The sequence below is a fragment of the Homo sapiens genome, chromosome 22, assembly GCF_000001405.40.
Source record: "Homo sapiens chromosome 22, GRCh38.p14 Primary Assembly".
NCBI classification, from domain to species: Eukaryota; Metazoa; Chordata; class Mammalia; order Primates; family Hominidae; genus Homo; species Homo sapiens.
In genome coordinates, this window is record NC_000022.11 from 36,225,460 (window position 1) to 36,239,966 (window position 14,507).

General features: G+C 49.8%; 1 protein-coding gene across 5 annotated transcripts, besides 4 other annotated features; it reads right to left on the reverse strand.

The window, feature by feature from the left end:
- Window positions 750–14,495, reverse strand: APOL2 (apolipoprotein L2). Of its 5 annotated transcripts, XM_047441285.1 has the most exons (7): window positions 14,273–14,495; window positions 13,982–14,102; window positions 8,777–8,876; window positions 7,943–7,996; window positions 7,694–7,782; window positions 5,881–6,007; window positions 750–2,821 (listed from the first exon to the last, which is right to left on the reverse strand). In XM_047441285.1, exons 5-7 carry the CDS (start codon window positions 7,701–7,703, stop codon window positions 1,945–1,947), a joined length of 1,014 nt encoding a protein of 337 aa, XP_047297241.1. In that variant the 5' UTR covers window positions 7,704–7,782; window positions 7,943–7,996; window positions 8,777–8,876; window positions 13,982–14,102; window positions 14,273–14,495; the 3' UTR covers window positions 750–1,944. The 5 variants fall into 5 exon arrangements, with proteins under 5 accessions (XP_047297241.1, NP_663612.2, NP_112092.2 ...); NM_145637.3 differs by lacking the exon at window positions 8,777–8,876; NM_030882.4 differs by lacking the exons at window positions 8,777–8,876; window positions 14,273–14,495 and having other exon boundaries at window positions 13,982–14,068.
- Window positions 1,704–2,382: an enhancer, noted in NCBI's record as "H3K27ac-H3K4me1 hESC enhancer chr22:36623209-36623887 (GRCh37/hg19 assembly coordinates)". NCBI's record gives its function as "activates a minimal SCP1, AML or CMV promoter by ChIP-STARR-seq in naive H9 embryonic stem cells {active_cell/tissue: H9 hESC(naive)}" and the evidence as "EXISTENCE:reporter gene assay evidence [ECO:0000049][PMID:30033119]".
- Window positions 12,995–13,509: an enhancer, noted in NCBI's record as "H3K27ac-H3K4me1 hESC enhancer chr22:36634500-36635014 (GRCh37/hg19 assembly coordinates)". NCBI's record gives its function as "activates a minimal SCP1, AML or CMV promoter by ChIP-STARR-seq in primed H9 embryonic stem cells {active_cell/tissue: H9 hESC(primed)}" and the evidence as "EXISTENCE:reporter gene assay evidence [ECO:0000049][PMID:30033119]".
- Window positions 14,047–14,296: an enhancer, noted in NCBI's record as "active region_18918". NCBI's record gives its function as "activates an Ori minimal core promoter by ATAC-STARR-seq in GM12878 lymphoblastoid cells {active_cell/tissue: GM12878}" and the evidence as "EXISTENCE:reporter gene assay evidence [ECO:0000049][PMID:35858748]".
- Window positions 14,307–14,356: an enhancer, noted in NCBI's record as "active region_18919". NCBI's record gives its function as "activates an Ori minimal core promoter by ATAC-STARR-seq in GM12878 lymphoblastoid cells {active_cell/tissue: GM12878}" and the evidence as "EXISTENCE:reporter gene assay evidence [ECO:0000049][PMID:35858748]".

Genomic DNA, 14,507 nt, shown 5'->3' on the forward strand with positions numbered 1-14,507 from the left:
ACACAGGCCCCTCTGACACTAGTTAGCCTCGAGTGTCCCGTGTCAATCCCGGGCTCTGACTCACAGATGGAAACCACACCTGTGCTCAGCCAGAGCCAGACATGTACAAGCTTTCCCCGAGTGCCCCAATGGGCTTGGGGTTTTGAGGTCTCAGGGAAATGACCAGCTGGGAAAGTGAGAGTCCAGTGAGCGAGCAGAAGGGGTCTTGAAACTTCGCTCCCTGAGACCCTGGAAGAAGGATCATGAGGAAGGTTAAGTCAGGCACCCAGAGCCCAGGGGAGCCTCCATCGGCACCACAAAGTCACAGCCATCAGTCAGTGCTGATTGACTCAAGTCTCCAGAACACAAGATGGGGAGAGCAAGGTGGACCTGAGATATCACCTTTTCCAGCCCCCTTCTACAGCTGATGAGGAAACTGAGGCTCAGAGGGGTGAAGTCTCATGACCACAAGCAGGGTTGAACTCCTGGACACACCTCAAGCTTCCTTGACCTGTTCCTGGCATCTCCTTTCATTTTTCCTTTCTTCCCAAATTAACCTCTTTCCAACACAGCACTTCAAGTTCCCCTGGAACTTCATCGGTCCATCGGTGTCCCCTGGTCTGGAAGAGCACCGACCACTTGCCAAGGCCCCCACCACTCTGCTGCCATCACAACCACCATCACCACCATTACGAGAAAAACTTGAGACTGATGGCCCCCAAAGCTTAGAAGGAGCTGAGAGACCAAAGAATGACTCGAACAAGTCCAGCTTGGTGAGTAGGTGAGTTTATTGGGACTTACACACAGGTCAATCCTGGGCAGCGACAGGACAGCTCTAGAGATCTGTGCTTCCTCCCAATGCTAAACTGCTTTCATGCTAATCTTCTGACTGTTTACTTACCGGCTAAGAGCGATGGGACTGTTTTCATTGGTTGGTTCTCAGATACTCTCTGGGAAGTTTGGGTTCTCAGGGACACCTGCTCCTCAGCTGGGGATTGTGGCCATGGCCTACCACCTGCCTCTCAGGGTTCAAGCAGGGGACATGCACCCTTTAGTAACCTGGAGGGGACCCGTCACATGACAACCACCCCAACCACCATCATGAAGAAGCCACTGGCTGACTGTGATACACCCCCAGAAGGACAAGGGAGAGTGGATGCTGGAAAGACAGAGCGAGAGACCATCACCAGGGAAAGACTTTATTCTTGGAAGGACATCAAACCTGGGGGGGGGTCGGTAGTGGAGCTGCTGTTTCTTCTCCTGTATCCAACAGTTCTAACTCTGGTTTTCTCCATTTTCAGCTCTTTCTTTTCCTGGCCTTCTCATTGCTGGTTCCTGCAAGCTCCCCCTCTATTCTTCGCCCAATATATTCTTTAGTCCAAAGTAAACTACTTCTTCCCATTCCCCACACTCTCCAGTCCTCTCTCCTCCCTTATTGCAGGCTCCAGTGTTCCTGCCTTCTCCTTGGTGCACTTGCCATCTGCATTAACCCCTCCCTTGCTGTGCTCAGCTACACAAATGCCAAAGTCACTAACACTCAGTTCCATAAGCTTTACCTTGCCCTCCTTATCCCCCTAATAAAATGTCTGCATTTTGGCCAGGCGCGGTGGCTCACGCCTGTAATCCCAGCACTTTGGGAGGCCGAGGTGGGCAGATCACGAGGTCAGGAGATGGAGACCATCGTGGCTAACACAGTGAAACCCCGTCTCCAGTGAAAATACAAAAAAATTAGCCGGGCGTGGTGGCAGGTGCCTGTAGTCCCAGCTACTCGGGAGACTGAGGCCGGAGAATGGTGTGAACCCGGGAGGCGGAGTTTGCAGTGAGCCGAGATTGAGCCACTGCACTCCATCCTGGGCGATAGAGCGAGACTCCATCTCAAAAAAAAAAAAAAAAAAAAAAAAAAGTCTGCATTTTGTCCTGGCCTGTGCCCGGCATTTCTGCCCTGGTGGCTGCACTGCTCTGGGGTCATTGGTCTTGGCCTGGCTGCAGCATCTCATGGATCTTGGTGAGAAAGTTGAGCTTCCCCTCCAGCTCCTGAGCCCGCTTCTTCAGCTCCTCAGCTGACTCTGACTTTGCCCCCTCAAGCAAGTGCTTTGACTCATATGCAAGGCTGACCACATCCAGCAGAAGCAAGATGCCTCCAGTGGCTGCACCCACGATCATGGTTCCTCTGCTCATTGCCTGGGCGGGGCCTTCAACAACCCTCTCAACCTGTTCACCGCCTTCAGCTGAGATTCGCCCAATGACATGCGGGGGTGGGGCATACGCTCCTAACTGAGGGTTGGCTCTGGCTCGTCTGATGGCACGGATGTTCCTCCCAATCCCTTGTGTGACTTGGTACCAATTGTCAACTAAGGTAAGAACATTGGGTGTGTTCCCACCCACAAACTCCTTCATCACCTTTGCTACATTGGTGCCGCTTTGGTCCAAGTTGCGGGCTTGGGCTCGTGCCCGCAATTTGTTTACTAGTTCTACCACACTGCAGGTAATCCCAGCCACAGCAGCTGCTGCTCCCAGACCCATGCCAGTGTCCAAGAGCACAAAACTGATTCCTTCTGTGAAGGGTGCCAGACCCAGGCCGAGGAGGGTCAGGATGCCAGAGGTAGTGCCAACAGAGTTGGACACCACATTGGCAATGGTGGTGCCTCTGTGGACCTGCTCAACCTCCTCTGCAAGGGCACGGAGCTTCCTTATGTGATCCTCAAGCTCCCTTTTCAACCGAGGAAACTCTTTCAAAAACCACTGCCTGTGCTGCTGGTCTTTATCGTGGCGGTTTTTGTCCTTCATGACCATGTGACTTGCAAGCTTGTTCAGAGCTTTACGGAGCTCATCTGCCTCATCCCTGCACAAGGAAAGGTTAAAGGATTAAGAAATGCAGTTTCCCTATCTGTGAAATGAGCTCCATGCGATCTCTATCCTGTGTAAATTGCAGAGCTTTCACTATCAATCAAATAGAAACAAATTTTACAAATGGAATTAATTATCTTTCAAACTCAAACACATTTTGTTCATCATAGATATTCCTCAGTACTTATTCCATATGGAAATAAATATCTTAAAGGCACCTCAGATGCTCTTTCATGGTAGGTGTTTGATAAAGATGCCTCCTCACTCAAGGGCAGGTCAACACCGTGACTGCCAAAGTGTTTGGAGAGGGAAAACTCTGCAGATGAACAAAGAGCAGTGAGAGTGAGACAAAGAGACCTTATTACCAGGATGGCAGGAAAGTGAAGCATGAACTTTACCCAAAGAGAGGCCTTCCCTTTGTCCTCAGCTCCTGGGAAGTGATCTCCAGGCCCCTGGAATGTCCTGCCTGGTAGGAACATCTTTCTTTGCCTGGTGATTTGGCCACGGGACAGTATAGCGATGTGATGGATGATAGGGTTTGGGGCTATTTGGTGTCTTTCCTGACTTCCAGAGGACTTGGGGACTAAAGGTGTGAGATCTCAGGGAAGGGCTGGAGACTCTAGCCATGAGGGCAGCTTGTGATCCAGCCCCAGCAGATACTCTGGACACTAAGGCATGGGTTGAGAAAGAAGGACTTTCTCCTTGACCAACTCCAGCTGGGCTCTTCAGAGCTTCTTCTCCACTAGGCGCCGACCTTGGCCTTCCACACTCACCCACTGCTTTCTGGACTTGCACCACCTTGGCTCAGCAAGAATCTCCCCAAATCAGTTTAGGGAGGGTCCTCCCCGCTTGCTGTCTGAGCACCGTTTGTTATCTGATCATGCTCCTCACCCCCACCACTGGTGGTTGAGGGTCTGACCTGCCTTTGGCGAGAATCCTGTTAGGCCAGTTTAGCAGGAACCCCCCACTCTGGCGTCTCCTGTCAGTCCTGTTCCATCTCCCGCCCCCACCCTGGTGTTGGCTGTGACTCCCCCTCTGTCTTTACTATATTTGGAGCTGGGCTCAGTCTCCCTCCCCTGTAACAACAATCCTGAATAAAGGCTTCATTTCTGGTTTAATGTGATTCACAGGAATTTTTCCTTAACTGGGTGAGCTTCCCTGGTTGGCAACACCGCATGTGTTTTGTCCCACATTCACACAGGAGAACACAGCCTCCTGAGGACAATGAAGATTCACACCTGAAATCCTCCCAGACTCTGCCCTGTGTGTCTCTTCCTTAGGCTGATTTTAATCTGTGTTCTTTCCCTGTGATAAACCACAATCGTGCAATAGCAGTTTTCAGTGAGTTACGTGAGTCCTTCTAGTGAATTATAAAATCTAAGGATGATTTTAGGAATCCCCATAGATTTGCAGGTGGTGTCAAAGGTAAGGGTGCCCTCAGACATTGCAGTCTGGCTATCTCTGAGTACTTTGAATTCAAACAAAAACAAAACCTCAGAAAGACAGGAGATCACTTTGCCTGGCATCTGCTCCCTTCCAATGCCTCATGCCCTTTCACCTGGCTGAAGGCTACTGGGTGCGGCCACTGCCCCAGCTGACTGGAGTGGGAGATCTGGCTATTCATTCTGGCTCCACATGGACGCTCCAGCCACCTTACTGCCTCCTGACCTACCACCTGCACCCCCAACCTTCCAGGTCTCACTCGCAGGTGTCACCAGCCTAACTGATGCCTTAGCAGTGACAGCTTCACCTGTGTGCACAGCAAGGCCATGTGCAATTTTATGGAACCACTAGAAGACTCAAGACACTTTCAGAACCATCTATATAAATTGCTAATGCTGAAAAGACCTGAATTTGGTCAAGATGGTAGAGGAAGTGTTTTCCTCCTCGGTTGGGACTTTGTGAGTCTGCTCAGTACCCCTGAAATTACACAAATTGGCAGCAACTCATTCTACTTTGGAAATGGTCACTAAGGCATGCCATGGTAAGGAGCTTCTCTGTGTAGAAGAGAAGAAGGTCTGAAAGGGTAGTCCAGAACTCACCAGTTCCAAGGCATGGGGTGAGAGACACAGGCTACCATGACCCTGTATGCCCATGAGTGTTGGGATCATCCAGACAGGGAAGAAATATCCCTCTCCCACTCACATGTCCTCTGCAAGTTCATGACCTCCTTAAGTTTCAAGCCCTTGGTGCCTCTCTTTCCACACCCTAGTCCCAGCCCTGGTGCCCCAGCCTTCCTGCTTGTCCTACCAAACCAAGGCTGACTCTTACTCCATCCTGACTCCAGGCTCTGACACTGGTCCCGGTCTCTCTGGGCCTTTGAGCAGGATCTTAGTCCTTGGTTCCCCACCTTTGACCTGGAGTTGCCTCTAAGGCCTTCACCACACTCCTATGACATTGAATTGCTATTCCTATTGGACAGAAGACAGTTCCAAGTCTCCATGACATAAGCCCAGAGCCCAGGAACTAGGCCTCTCAGGATCCTGGACCAGCAGAAGGGTCCTGCTGTGTTTGTGGAATTCTTCAGATGAGAAAAAAGGCCCCAGCCAGCATCCCCAGGAACACATATTGTTTAGGTTAGGATTTTTCTGACTTTTCCCAAAGGAAGTCCTGCTGGGCTCCCATCTTCAAGAAGAAGATCCTTAACCCTGGTCTCTTTCCACCAAGCTTGTAAGATGTTAACGTTAACTGTGCACCTACTATGTGTCAGTCATTATGCTAAGCACTTTACATGCATGATCTCATTTTTCTCATAATAAAACTCCATTGATGAAGAAAGGCTGAAAGTGAGAAAGTAACTGGCAAAGTTCCCATCACCAGCAGATGGCAGAAATGACCCTGTTCCTGTGGGCTTCCTATCCCCTCAGCCTGAGGCTACTCACTGCCAGCGAAGGACATGGAGGAAATATTCCTCCTGGAGTGCCGAGAAGGTCATCCTCAAGCCCAGCAGAGGGGGCTGCCTGGAGGAGGTGTGCCTGTCAGGGACAACCAGCCCAGGGGAGATCTGAGTGGCATCGCTGGGGCGCCCCATGGAGTTAACCCCATGGAGCTTACCTGGGCAGTTCAGCAGCAGCCACGAATCCATTCCAGGCTTCATCATCAGTCAGCAGTTGTAGCAGATTCTCTCTGCTCACTTGGTCCTGGAAATACTTAAGGTAATCCTCAATAAAGATACTGCTCTCTAGTTGGAAAGAAGAAAGGATAAGGTTGGAGGATAGTGTAGGGGAGCATAACAGCCATTGCACATTAGGTGGTTACATGTTAATTTTTCCTGGACAACTGTGATGTGGGACATGTTTGATGGAGTCATCAGTGCTATAGAGGGATTGTGTGCCCCCAAAATTCATATGCTGAAGCCCTAAACTCGAGTGACTATATTTGAAGATTGGGCCTTTAAGGAAGCAATTAAGACTGAATGAGATCACAAGGGTAGGGCTCTAATCCTACTAGAGGGCTAGTGTCCTATTGTAAGAAGAGAAAGAGAAACAATAAGGCCAGGTAAGCACACAGCGCAAAGGCAGCTGCCGCAAGCCAGCAAGAGAGTCCTCCCAAGGCTCCAACCCCTTAATTTAATAAACCATCAAAGACAGAAACCCCAAACCCCACTGGGCCCAACTGGCTCTTCTGAGTCCACCTGCACTTCCATCCCTGAGCCTGTGCTTCTGCTTTGCAGCTGATTTGTTTTTTCTTTGACTCAAATTTTTTCTCTCAGTGGAGTCAAAAACCTGGACAAGGCTAAGGTCTGGTCTCTCCTGGATTCGGAGAACTTCCTAAACCCACCAGCACCAATGTGACCAGGAATTTTCCAAAAAGGTAAATCAAAACAGGCAGTTTTGTAACTGCAACCAATCAAATAATGTCCTTATTGCAGTTTCATATTTACTCGATAAATACTTGTCTCTGACACTTTTTCATCATAACATGAAGCCTCTTCCAGTTTGGTTTTCTCAATTCATGAATTCCTTCTTATTCAAATAAATGTTACTGTGCCTCAGATTTTTCTTTGACAAGGGGTATCTGAGATCATGGGAATGAGGCCCTGCCTGAGGCAGTCATCCCTGGTCAGCAGGTGCTTGTGATGGGCAGTGCAGGGCGGGTGCCCTAACACAGATGAGGGGACTGGGTGGCTTCCACCTGGAATCAACAGGGGATAGATAGAGGAGATAGAGGGGATGCAAACTAATTCTTAGGGAGGCCCTACTGTGTGGCAGGCTTTGGCCAGGCCAGGTACCCTTATAATATTTAATCTTCGTGACAACATGGGGAAATATTATTTTCATGGTACACGAGAGGGGAGGTAAGGAGCTCCAGGTCACACAGAAGGGACTTGGAAAAGGCCAGACCGGGGTCCATTTAAGTTGGAAGCTGGGTCAAGCATGATACATTCCCATAGGGCCACTCAGAACAGAGGGGCTGGTGCAGGGCAAGAGCTGGAGGGAGGGGACCGGCCTGTGCTGGAAAAAACCCTGGGTCAGCAGGGAGAAGAGCGGTAGATAAGAGATCAGGGCTGCAGGTCAACCTCCTCTCCCACCCCTCCCCTCCTCCTGGACCCTGCTCTTCCCCCACTCCCCTCTCTTGCTTGTTCCACTTCCTCATGGCTGTCCTGCCCCACTTGAGTCATCTGCTGGGTGACAGGGTAGGGAGGAAGTGGGCACCTGGGCCGTGTCACCCCGAGGAGAGGTCAGGATGCAGATGACCCCCAGACCCCTGGGTCGGGGGACTCCACGTGACCTCTTCTGCTGCTCGGGGCAGACTCATTGGCCTCCTAGTCCATCTGGGTTCTTCTGGGGCTCACTCAGCTGTGGAGGTGCCACCCTCCATTCTAGGTGCGAGTAGGAACTAGCCAGGAAAGAGGAAGCGAGCCTACCTGGGTTCATGGTGCCAGCGGCTGGGTTACCGAGGGGCTTTCCTTGGAGCTCTCCAGTCACTGTCCAGACTGGAAGGTTTTCCTTAACCCTTGAGAACGAGAAAACAAATTGTGGGATCGAAGGTGAGCCTCCTGTGTACAGAGGGAGGCTGGAGGGGCTGGGTCTTTGCAGATCCCTCTGTGGTAGCAGCAAATGTCCAGAGTGTTTATCTCCTGGGGCCCTGCCAGCTAGTATTTACAGAAACTCACCTCGTTCCAGCTTCCTCTTCCCTCACTCTCACACCAAGGCAGGGTCCTCTTGTCCTGTAGGGGTATGAGAAGAAGATAATCAGAGGAGGGGCAGCCATCTGATCATTACAGAAACTACAGAGTCTATACACAGGAATAGAGATGGGAGGGAACATTCTGACAATGACCTGGGCCTGGGAACATGTATGATAACTAGTTGATGATAGCCAGTGTGTATTGTGTGTCTGTGATGTGCATGGCCTCTGACATGTATCTCATTCGATGATCACACACAGGACAGGAGATGGGTACCACTTTCCCATTTGAACACAGAGGAATCCACAAAAGTTAGGGAACTTATGGGTGTTTTCACAATAGTGCTAGAGCCAGGACTTCTGCTTCAATCCCATGTCTTCAATTACTGTGCTCTACTCCCTTAAATATACAATATTGAGTCATGTATACACGCTCATGGTAAATGACTCCTCATTGCAAATCCCTGTCTCACACTCTGTGCTCAACTCTTCGTCTTGGTGAACTCACTGGTGCTGCAGTGGACAGCCTGTGTCCCCGTTGCTTCTCTAAGATTCTTTGTCCCACAAAGACCTGGATCCTGCTAGATGCCGGCCCAGCCCCTGCTGTGGCTGCCGAGCCCTCCTGATGCTTCCCCGTCCCCTCTGCTGTCCTCCCCTAGCTGATGGACCTTAGGGTGTTTCTAATTCTTCATATAAATTATGCTACAAAGAATATCCTCCCTCACGTAAAACTGCTCACATTTGAGATTATTTCCTTAAGATACTTTTAAGAGTAGAATGACTAGGTCAAAAGCTATTAACATCTCAAAAGTTTTTATACCTAGAGCCACTCTGTATGAAAACTGTACAAATTCACACTCAAACTAACAGGATATGAAGATGTCCATTCTTTCAGTCTTACTGGCTCTCAGTAGTCTTTTCTTCAGGAAAACAAAACAAAACAAAACATTATTCCTTGAGACAAGGTCTCACTCCTAGTATGCAGCCCAGGCTGCTGGCAAAATCCTGGCCTTAGGGGATCCTCCCACCCTGCCCTCTAAAGTGCTGGATTACAAACATGAGCCACGACACCCGGCCTGAATAAATGCTGATCTTTATATAGAGGAAAGTTCTTCACATTCTGCTCCTGATTATCTTACCCTGGGAGGTGAGGGAAAATAGCAAATGTTAATCATATTAATCATCTTTAGGCACTGTTTTAAGAAGACAGAAGAGCATTTATCAACCTCCCCTCCTGAGATCAAACTACAGCCATAGTCAAGGCACTTACAGGTATAATGGCACTTAATGTTAATGTGGGCAAACATTGGTGGATTTTGCACCACTAATTGCTCTAAGATGTTATAAATAGTAACTCACAGAACTCTTCCAAGAACCTAGGAAGTGTGTACCATTGGTATTTCCATTTTCAGGTAAGAAAACTGAAACAGATGTTCAGTGACTTGCCCAAGCTCAGAATCTACTACGTGGTAAAGACTGGGTTCCCACCCAGACAGACGGACTCAAGAACTCACGCACTGCCTCTGCACCCTCTGCTGCCAATGAAAATTTAAATGAGGGCAACAGGAGATCAGAGATGCCAAGAGATGTTGGAAAACAGAACTGGCTGAAGAAATGACAACTGAATAAAGAGGGGTGAAGGGAGCTGTGAACCACAGCAATGCCAAGAGGGCATCCAGCCAGGCAGAGTGGTCTACTAGGCAGAGCCTCAGAGAGGGGAGGAGTTCACCAGGCCCACGTGCCATATGGGATTCATGCCAGCCTTGAGTCTACACCAGTGAAAAAAATCAGAGAGTTCATGACTGAAGCAATATGCCCCAGAAATAATATCTTTGTATTCTGACACTTCAGTGGGTTCCCATTCAATCACCCTACAGGGAAGACTGCCAGTAGACCTGCCCCCCACCCCGTTCAATATGAATAGATCTAGGATCAGAAATTGGAGAAAGGTGAAAGTGGGGAAACAGACCAAGATGACCAAATACAAAAGGAGTCCAGAACAAACAAGTAATTTTTTAAATCTCAAACCCATGTCCTCAGGGAGATTAAAAAATATTTTATTCATAAACTTAAAACAAGATATATAGAAAAGAAGAAAAATCAATGAAACAAACAAAAAAAGAGATTTTCTAGAAACTAAAAGGTGATGATCAAATAAACAAGTCTAGAGAGACCATGTGAAAGAAAGTCACGGAAATCCTCCAGAAAATAAACCAAAAAGATGACAGAGGAAAAGGAGCTATATGGGGAATAGAAAAGTTACCAGGCACAGGGTCACAGGGTGTTCTAAGAAAGCTACTTGAGAATGAGCCACCGGGAGGAAGAAAGGGTGGGTGGGTGGGTGTGTGTGTGTGTGTGTGTGTGTGTGTGTGTATGTGTTGTGCATCCATGGAGGGCAGGTGGGGATAACCAAGAAAGAAAAAGACATGGGATCCAGAAAACAGGAAAATCAACCCAGAGAGAAGGGAATCTGAGGATCACAGTGGGACATGCAGTAGGCCTACAAAACGACCAGTCCAGGATGGAATAAAAAGGGAATGGTTCTGTGGGAAAAAGGGACTCAATAGAATACCTCAAAGGATTCACAGTTTGAGAGAAACTGAGGAAATGAAGAAGGCAAGCAGTACAAGGGAGGAAAAAAAACAAAGGCAATTAGAAACATCAGGAAAAAGTAAAGCTGTGCCACAAAACATGTGCAAACATGGTGTACAACTCAGCTCCACAGTAAATAGTATTTAAAACATCACAAAATGTAAACACTCTTGATTGATTTTTAACTTTGAGAACAGAACAGAGCATATAAATATGAGAACTAAATATACTTGTTACCGATTAGTACAAACTTAAAGCACAAAGGTAGCAGTTGGGATGTGAAGCACTGAACGAAGGAGAAGGAGGATTAATATTGTCATCTTTTAAAGAGGGGAGTCAAGAAATACTAGGTAAAACTGAGAGTATAAGAAAGAAAGTTGTAAGTAAATTGTTTACAGCTACAAAGTTGCTAATGGAGGACATAAAACTGGTGATACAATATTAGGAAAAGGTGGAGAGGAGAGATAGAGGGAGTGTACAAACAAGATGAAAATGACTAATAATGACACTATAAGTAATAATGATAATACCGATTCAGGCCCATCCCAGTTAGGGGCGGCTCCAAAATCACCATTGTTCTTTTCTCACCTTGTGTCTCTGCGCACTCCCCGGCACACCCACTTCCAGCAGCTGGTCTTTGTTTGCAGACTTTATTTTAACAGCTCAGTGGTTCCCGGGCATCCTCCAGCTCTTATACAAAAGCCCCCTCCTCAAAAGCCACTCGCCTCCCTCTTTCCACTTCCCACCTCTGTTTCAGGGTCGAGGCATCCAGATATCTGTCTTCTGGGGCCCCTACGCAGCAAGACTAAAAGGGGGACCCAGTCCTGGGCAGCAGTTCACCAGGGGAGTATGCAGAGGGGCATCTGGACACTTCTTGCTGTAAGGGACGGGGTGACGGGAGGGGGTCTTCCCTTCCCCTTCTTCCTGCTTTGTTCACTCTGTGACACCCTAGGCCAGGGGAGCTGTCTCAACGCCATCTCATGAGCCATGAGAACCAGGAGGACCAGGAGGGAGAAGAGGAGCAGGAGGGCAGACAGAGCTGGGGCCTCGGACCTGCCCAATACTTGTGAGGAGCTGCATCCAGGATCCCATCCTCCTGGGTCATTGTTGGCCTGGCTCCCACCTTTGTCTGGAGCCTCTGCTGGGGGTTGAGGCTGGATACTGCCCCTCAGGCTTGACTAGGACACAGTGTGTACTCCATGGGTGAGCCTGCAGGCTGGTCAATTCCGGTGTCCAACTGAGCGACCTGGAAGAGGAGCCCTCCCTCCCACCTCAGCTCTGAGCCAAGCTCTCCAGATGCAGAGGACAGGGACTCTCAGCAAAGCATCTCCCTCCAAGTGGTTGTGGGGCATCCTCCTTGGGCAGGGAAAGAGGAGTCGAAATGATTTCCTGAGAAATCGTCATTTTCATTTTATTTTTGAGAAACTGTCTTGCTCTGTCACCCAGTCTGGAGTGCTTTGGGGCTATCACAGCTTGCTGTAGCCTAGAGCCCCTGGGCTCAAGTGATCCTTCTGCCTCAGCCTTCCAGGTAGCTGGGACTACAGGCACACGGCACCATGCAGGACTAATTTGTTAATTTTTCATTTCAGAGAGACAGCATCTCCTGTGTTGCCCAAGCTGTCTTGAGCTCCTAGCATCATGTGATTCTCCCGCCTCTGCCTCCCACAGCACTGAATTACAGGCCTCAGCCGTGGCACTGCACCCTTCTGAGGAATCTTCAGTGAAAAGCCACGGTCAAGTTCAAACCCCATAGCAGGGCACACAGGCCCTCTGATGCTCTGGACCCCACCTTCCTCACCGCTCCCTGCCACCACAGTCACCTTAGGTCCAGGCACCCACTGACGCCCTGCTTCGGTGCCTCCTGGAGCCCATCTACTCCTCCCACTCCCATCCCCAGCCTCAGGCCTTCACTCAGCTGCTCCCTCGCCCTGGAATGTCCCCCCCACTGTCCCCACCATGTGCAAGTCACCTGTCCTCAGAGACCCACCCAAAGCTGCCTGGTCCATGCGGCGGCCCCCAACCCTCCCCAGGCTCCCTGAGCACTCTGCTTTCCAGAGGGAGCTCTACCTGTATGTGGCTCTTTGGGCCTCTGTCTCCCCTTTAGACTCTGAACATTCAATGGGGACACTGTTGTGTTCCCAGCTGCACCCCCTACGACTGACCTGGATGCCCTCCGCCCTCCCTGGCACAGCCTGGCTGAAATCCCAGGTGCAGGAGGCATTACTTGAACTAAAAGCAACCAGCCTCTGGATGACATGGCCCAGCTTCAGTTTCACTTTCAGTTGAGAAATTGAATTTAATTTTTCTTTCTATCTTGATGGGCATCTCTTTTTGGTGAAGAACAAATAAGACCATGACTCATATTTCACAGAAATTACCCCCCTGATTTCATGGACTTTTGGCAGCTCTATCAAGTTTTTTAGAGGGGAAAAATCTTAGGCTGGGAGGGGAGGTGACTTGCCCAGAGTCACACAGCTCTTGGAGGGCAGAGGGGAGGCCAACATCTGCCCTTGTGACTCTGATATTGAAGCAAAAATGGGTGATTTTAATAATCCAACAGTGTCCAGGTTTGATTCTGCTTCTACAAACACAGAGACCTAAGCTCTCACTCCTGTAGTTATACTCACAATTCCACAGTGTGGCTTTTGAATCTCATGATTGCAAAGCTGGCATCATGCCACAGGTACCATTCTGCAATGCGACCTTCTCACTCCCCTGTCTCAGCCATGTTTCCCATTAGGGACACAGCACAGCCTGTTTCTTCTCTATCAGCTCAGAGGTCTGAACAGAGGGACAGAGGTGAGGGCCAGAGACGTGAAGTCCTATGATCTGCCTGCTCAGCCTCCTGACACGGGACCCTGGCAAGTCATTCCCCTCCCAGGGCCTCAGTTTCCCCACAGGGCCTGGCACAAGTAGGTGCTCAGACTCAGGGTGAGTGAGACAACCTCTGAGTTCCTTGTGTCTCAAAAGAAATCTGTTGTTCCCATTGGGCTTCAGCAGCAGCACCCTGGGGCCAGCCTGGGTGTGGCCCGGCCACAAGGACATGCCGGGCTCCAGGTCACCTCCCCTCCTCCACCTTCTTTGATTCCTTCAAATTTCCCAAAGAGATGGGCACCCCCAACACCTACCTTTCTTCTGGGGTCAGCTGGCCGTGTCTGAGGGTGTCAGAACCAGAGCTGAGCCCGGGGAGCTTTGTGAACCCATCTAAGCTGTTTTCCCCACCTCTCTCTACAGTTTACCCGCCCAGCAGGAGGGAGGGAGCAATCAGACTCAAGCCTGGGTGCAAATCCCGGCTCTGCCACTGCTTTCCTGTCTGATCTGAACCAGCTACCTAACCTCTCTGAGCTTATCTACAAAAGCTGAATGATCCTTCCCTTATAGAGCTATTGCAAGAATAAGGACATGGGGGTAGATCACACTATCCCCAACTTACCAAGGGATCTTCCTCTGACAGAGACTGAGCAAGATCCAACTGTTCTGAGCTGTGTGGATCCCACGTCCAGCTGTGCATCTGTGTAATAACCAGACACGTCCTCCGGCCTCCCAGATATACCCTGGAATTCGAAAGGGAAAGTGAAAGTCACAACTTCCCAGCAGCTCATGACCAAGCACAGTAAACACGCTGCTCCCCAGCACCACCTGCAGTCCAGGCCCAGCCTCCTTGCTGCTGCACTTAGAGGAGCAGCCGCAGACCAGACATCCGGGTCCCTCTCATCCAACCCACCTGCCTCACATCCTCAGGATTCAAGGTCTGCTGTGTCAGCTGCCCATGTCTCAGGCAGTCAGAACCAGAGTTGAGCCTGGGGAGTTTTTTGAACCCATCTGAGCCGCTTGCCCCCCAACCCCCGCCCCGATCTCTGCAGTTTAAGGGCACAGCAGGTGGGGGAGAGAAGTCAGACTCAAGCCTCAGTGCAATTCCAGGCTCTGCCCCTGTTTTACTGTCTGATCTGAACTAGTTA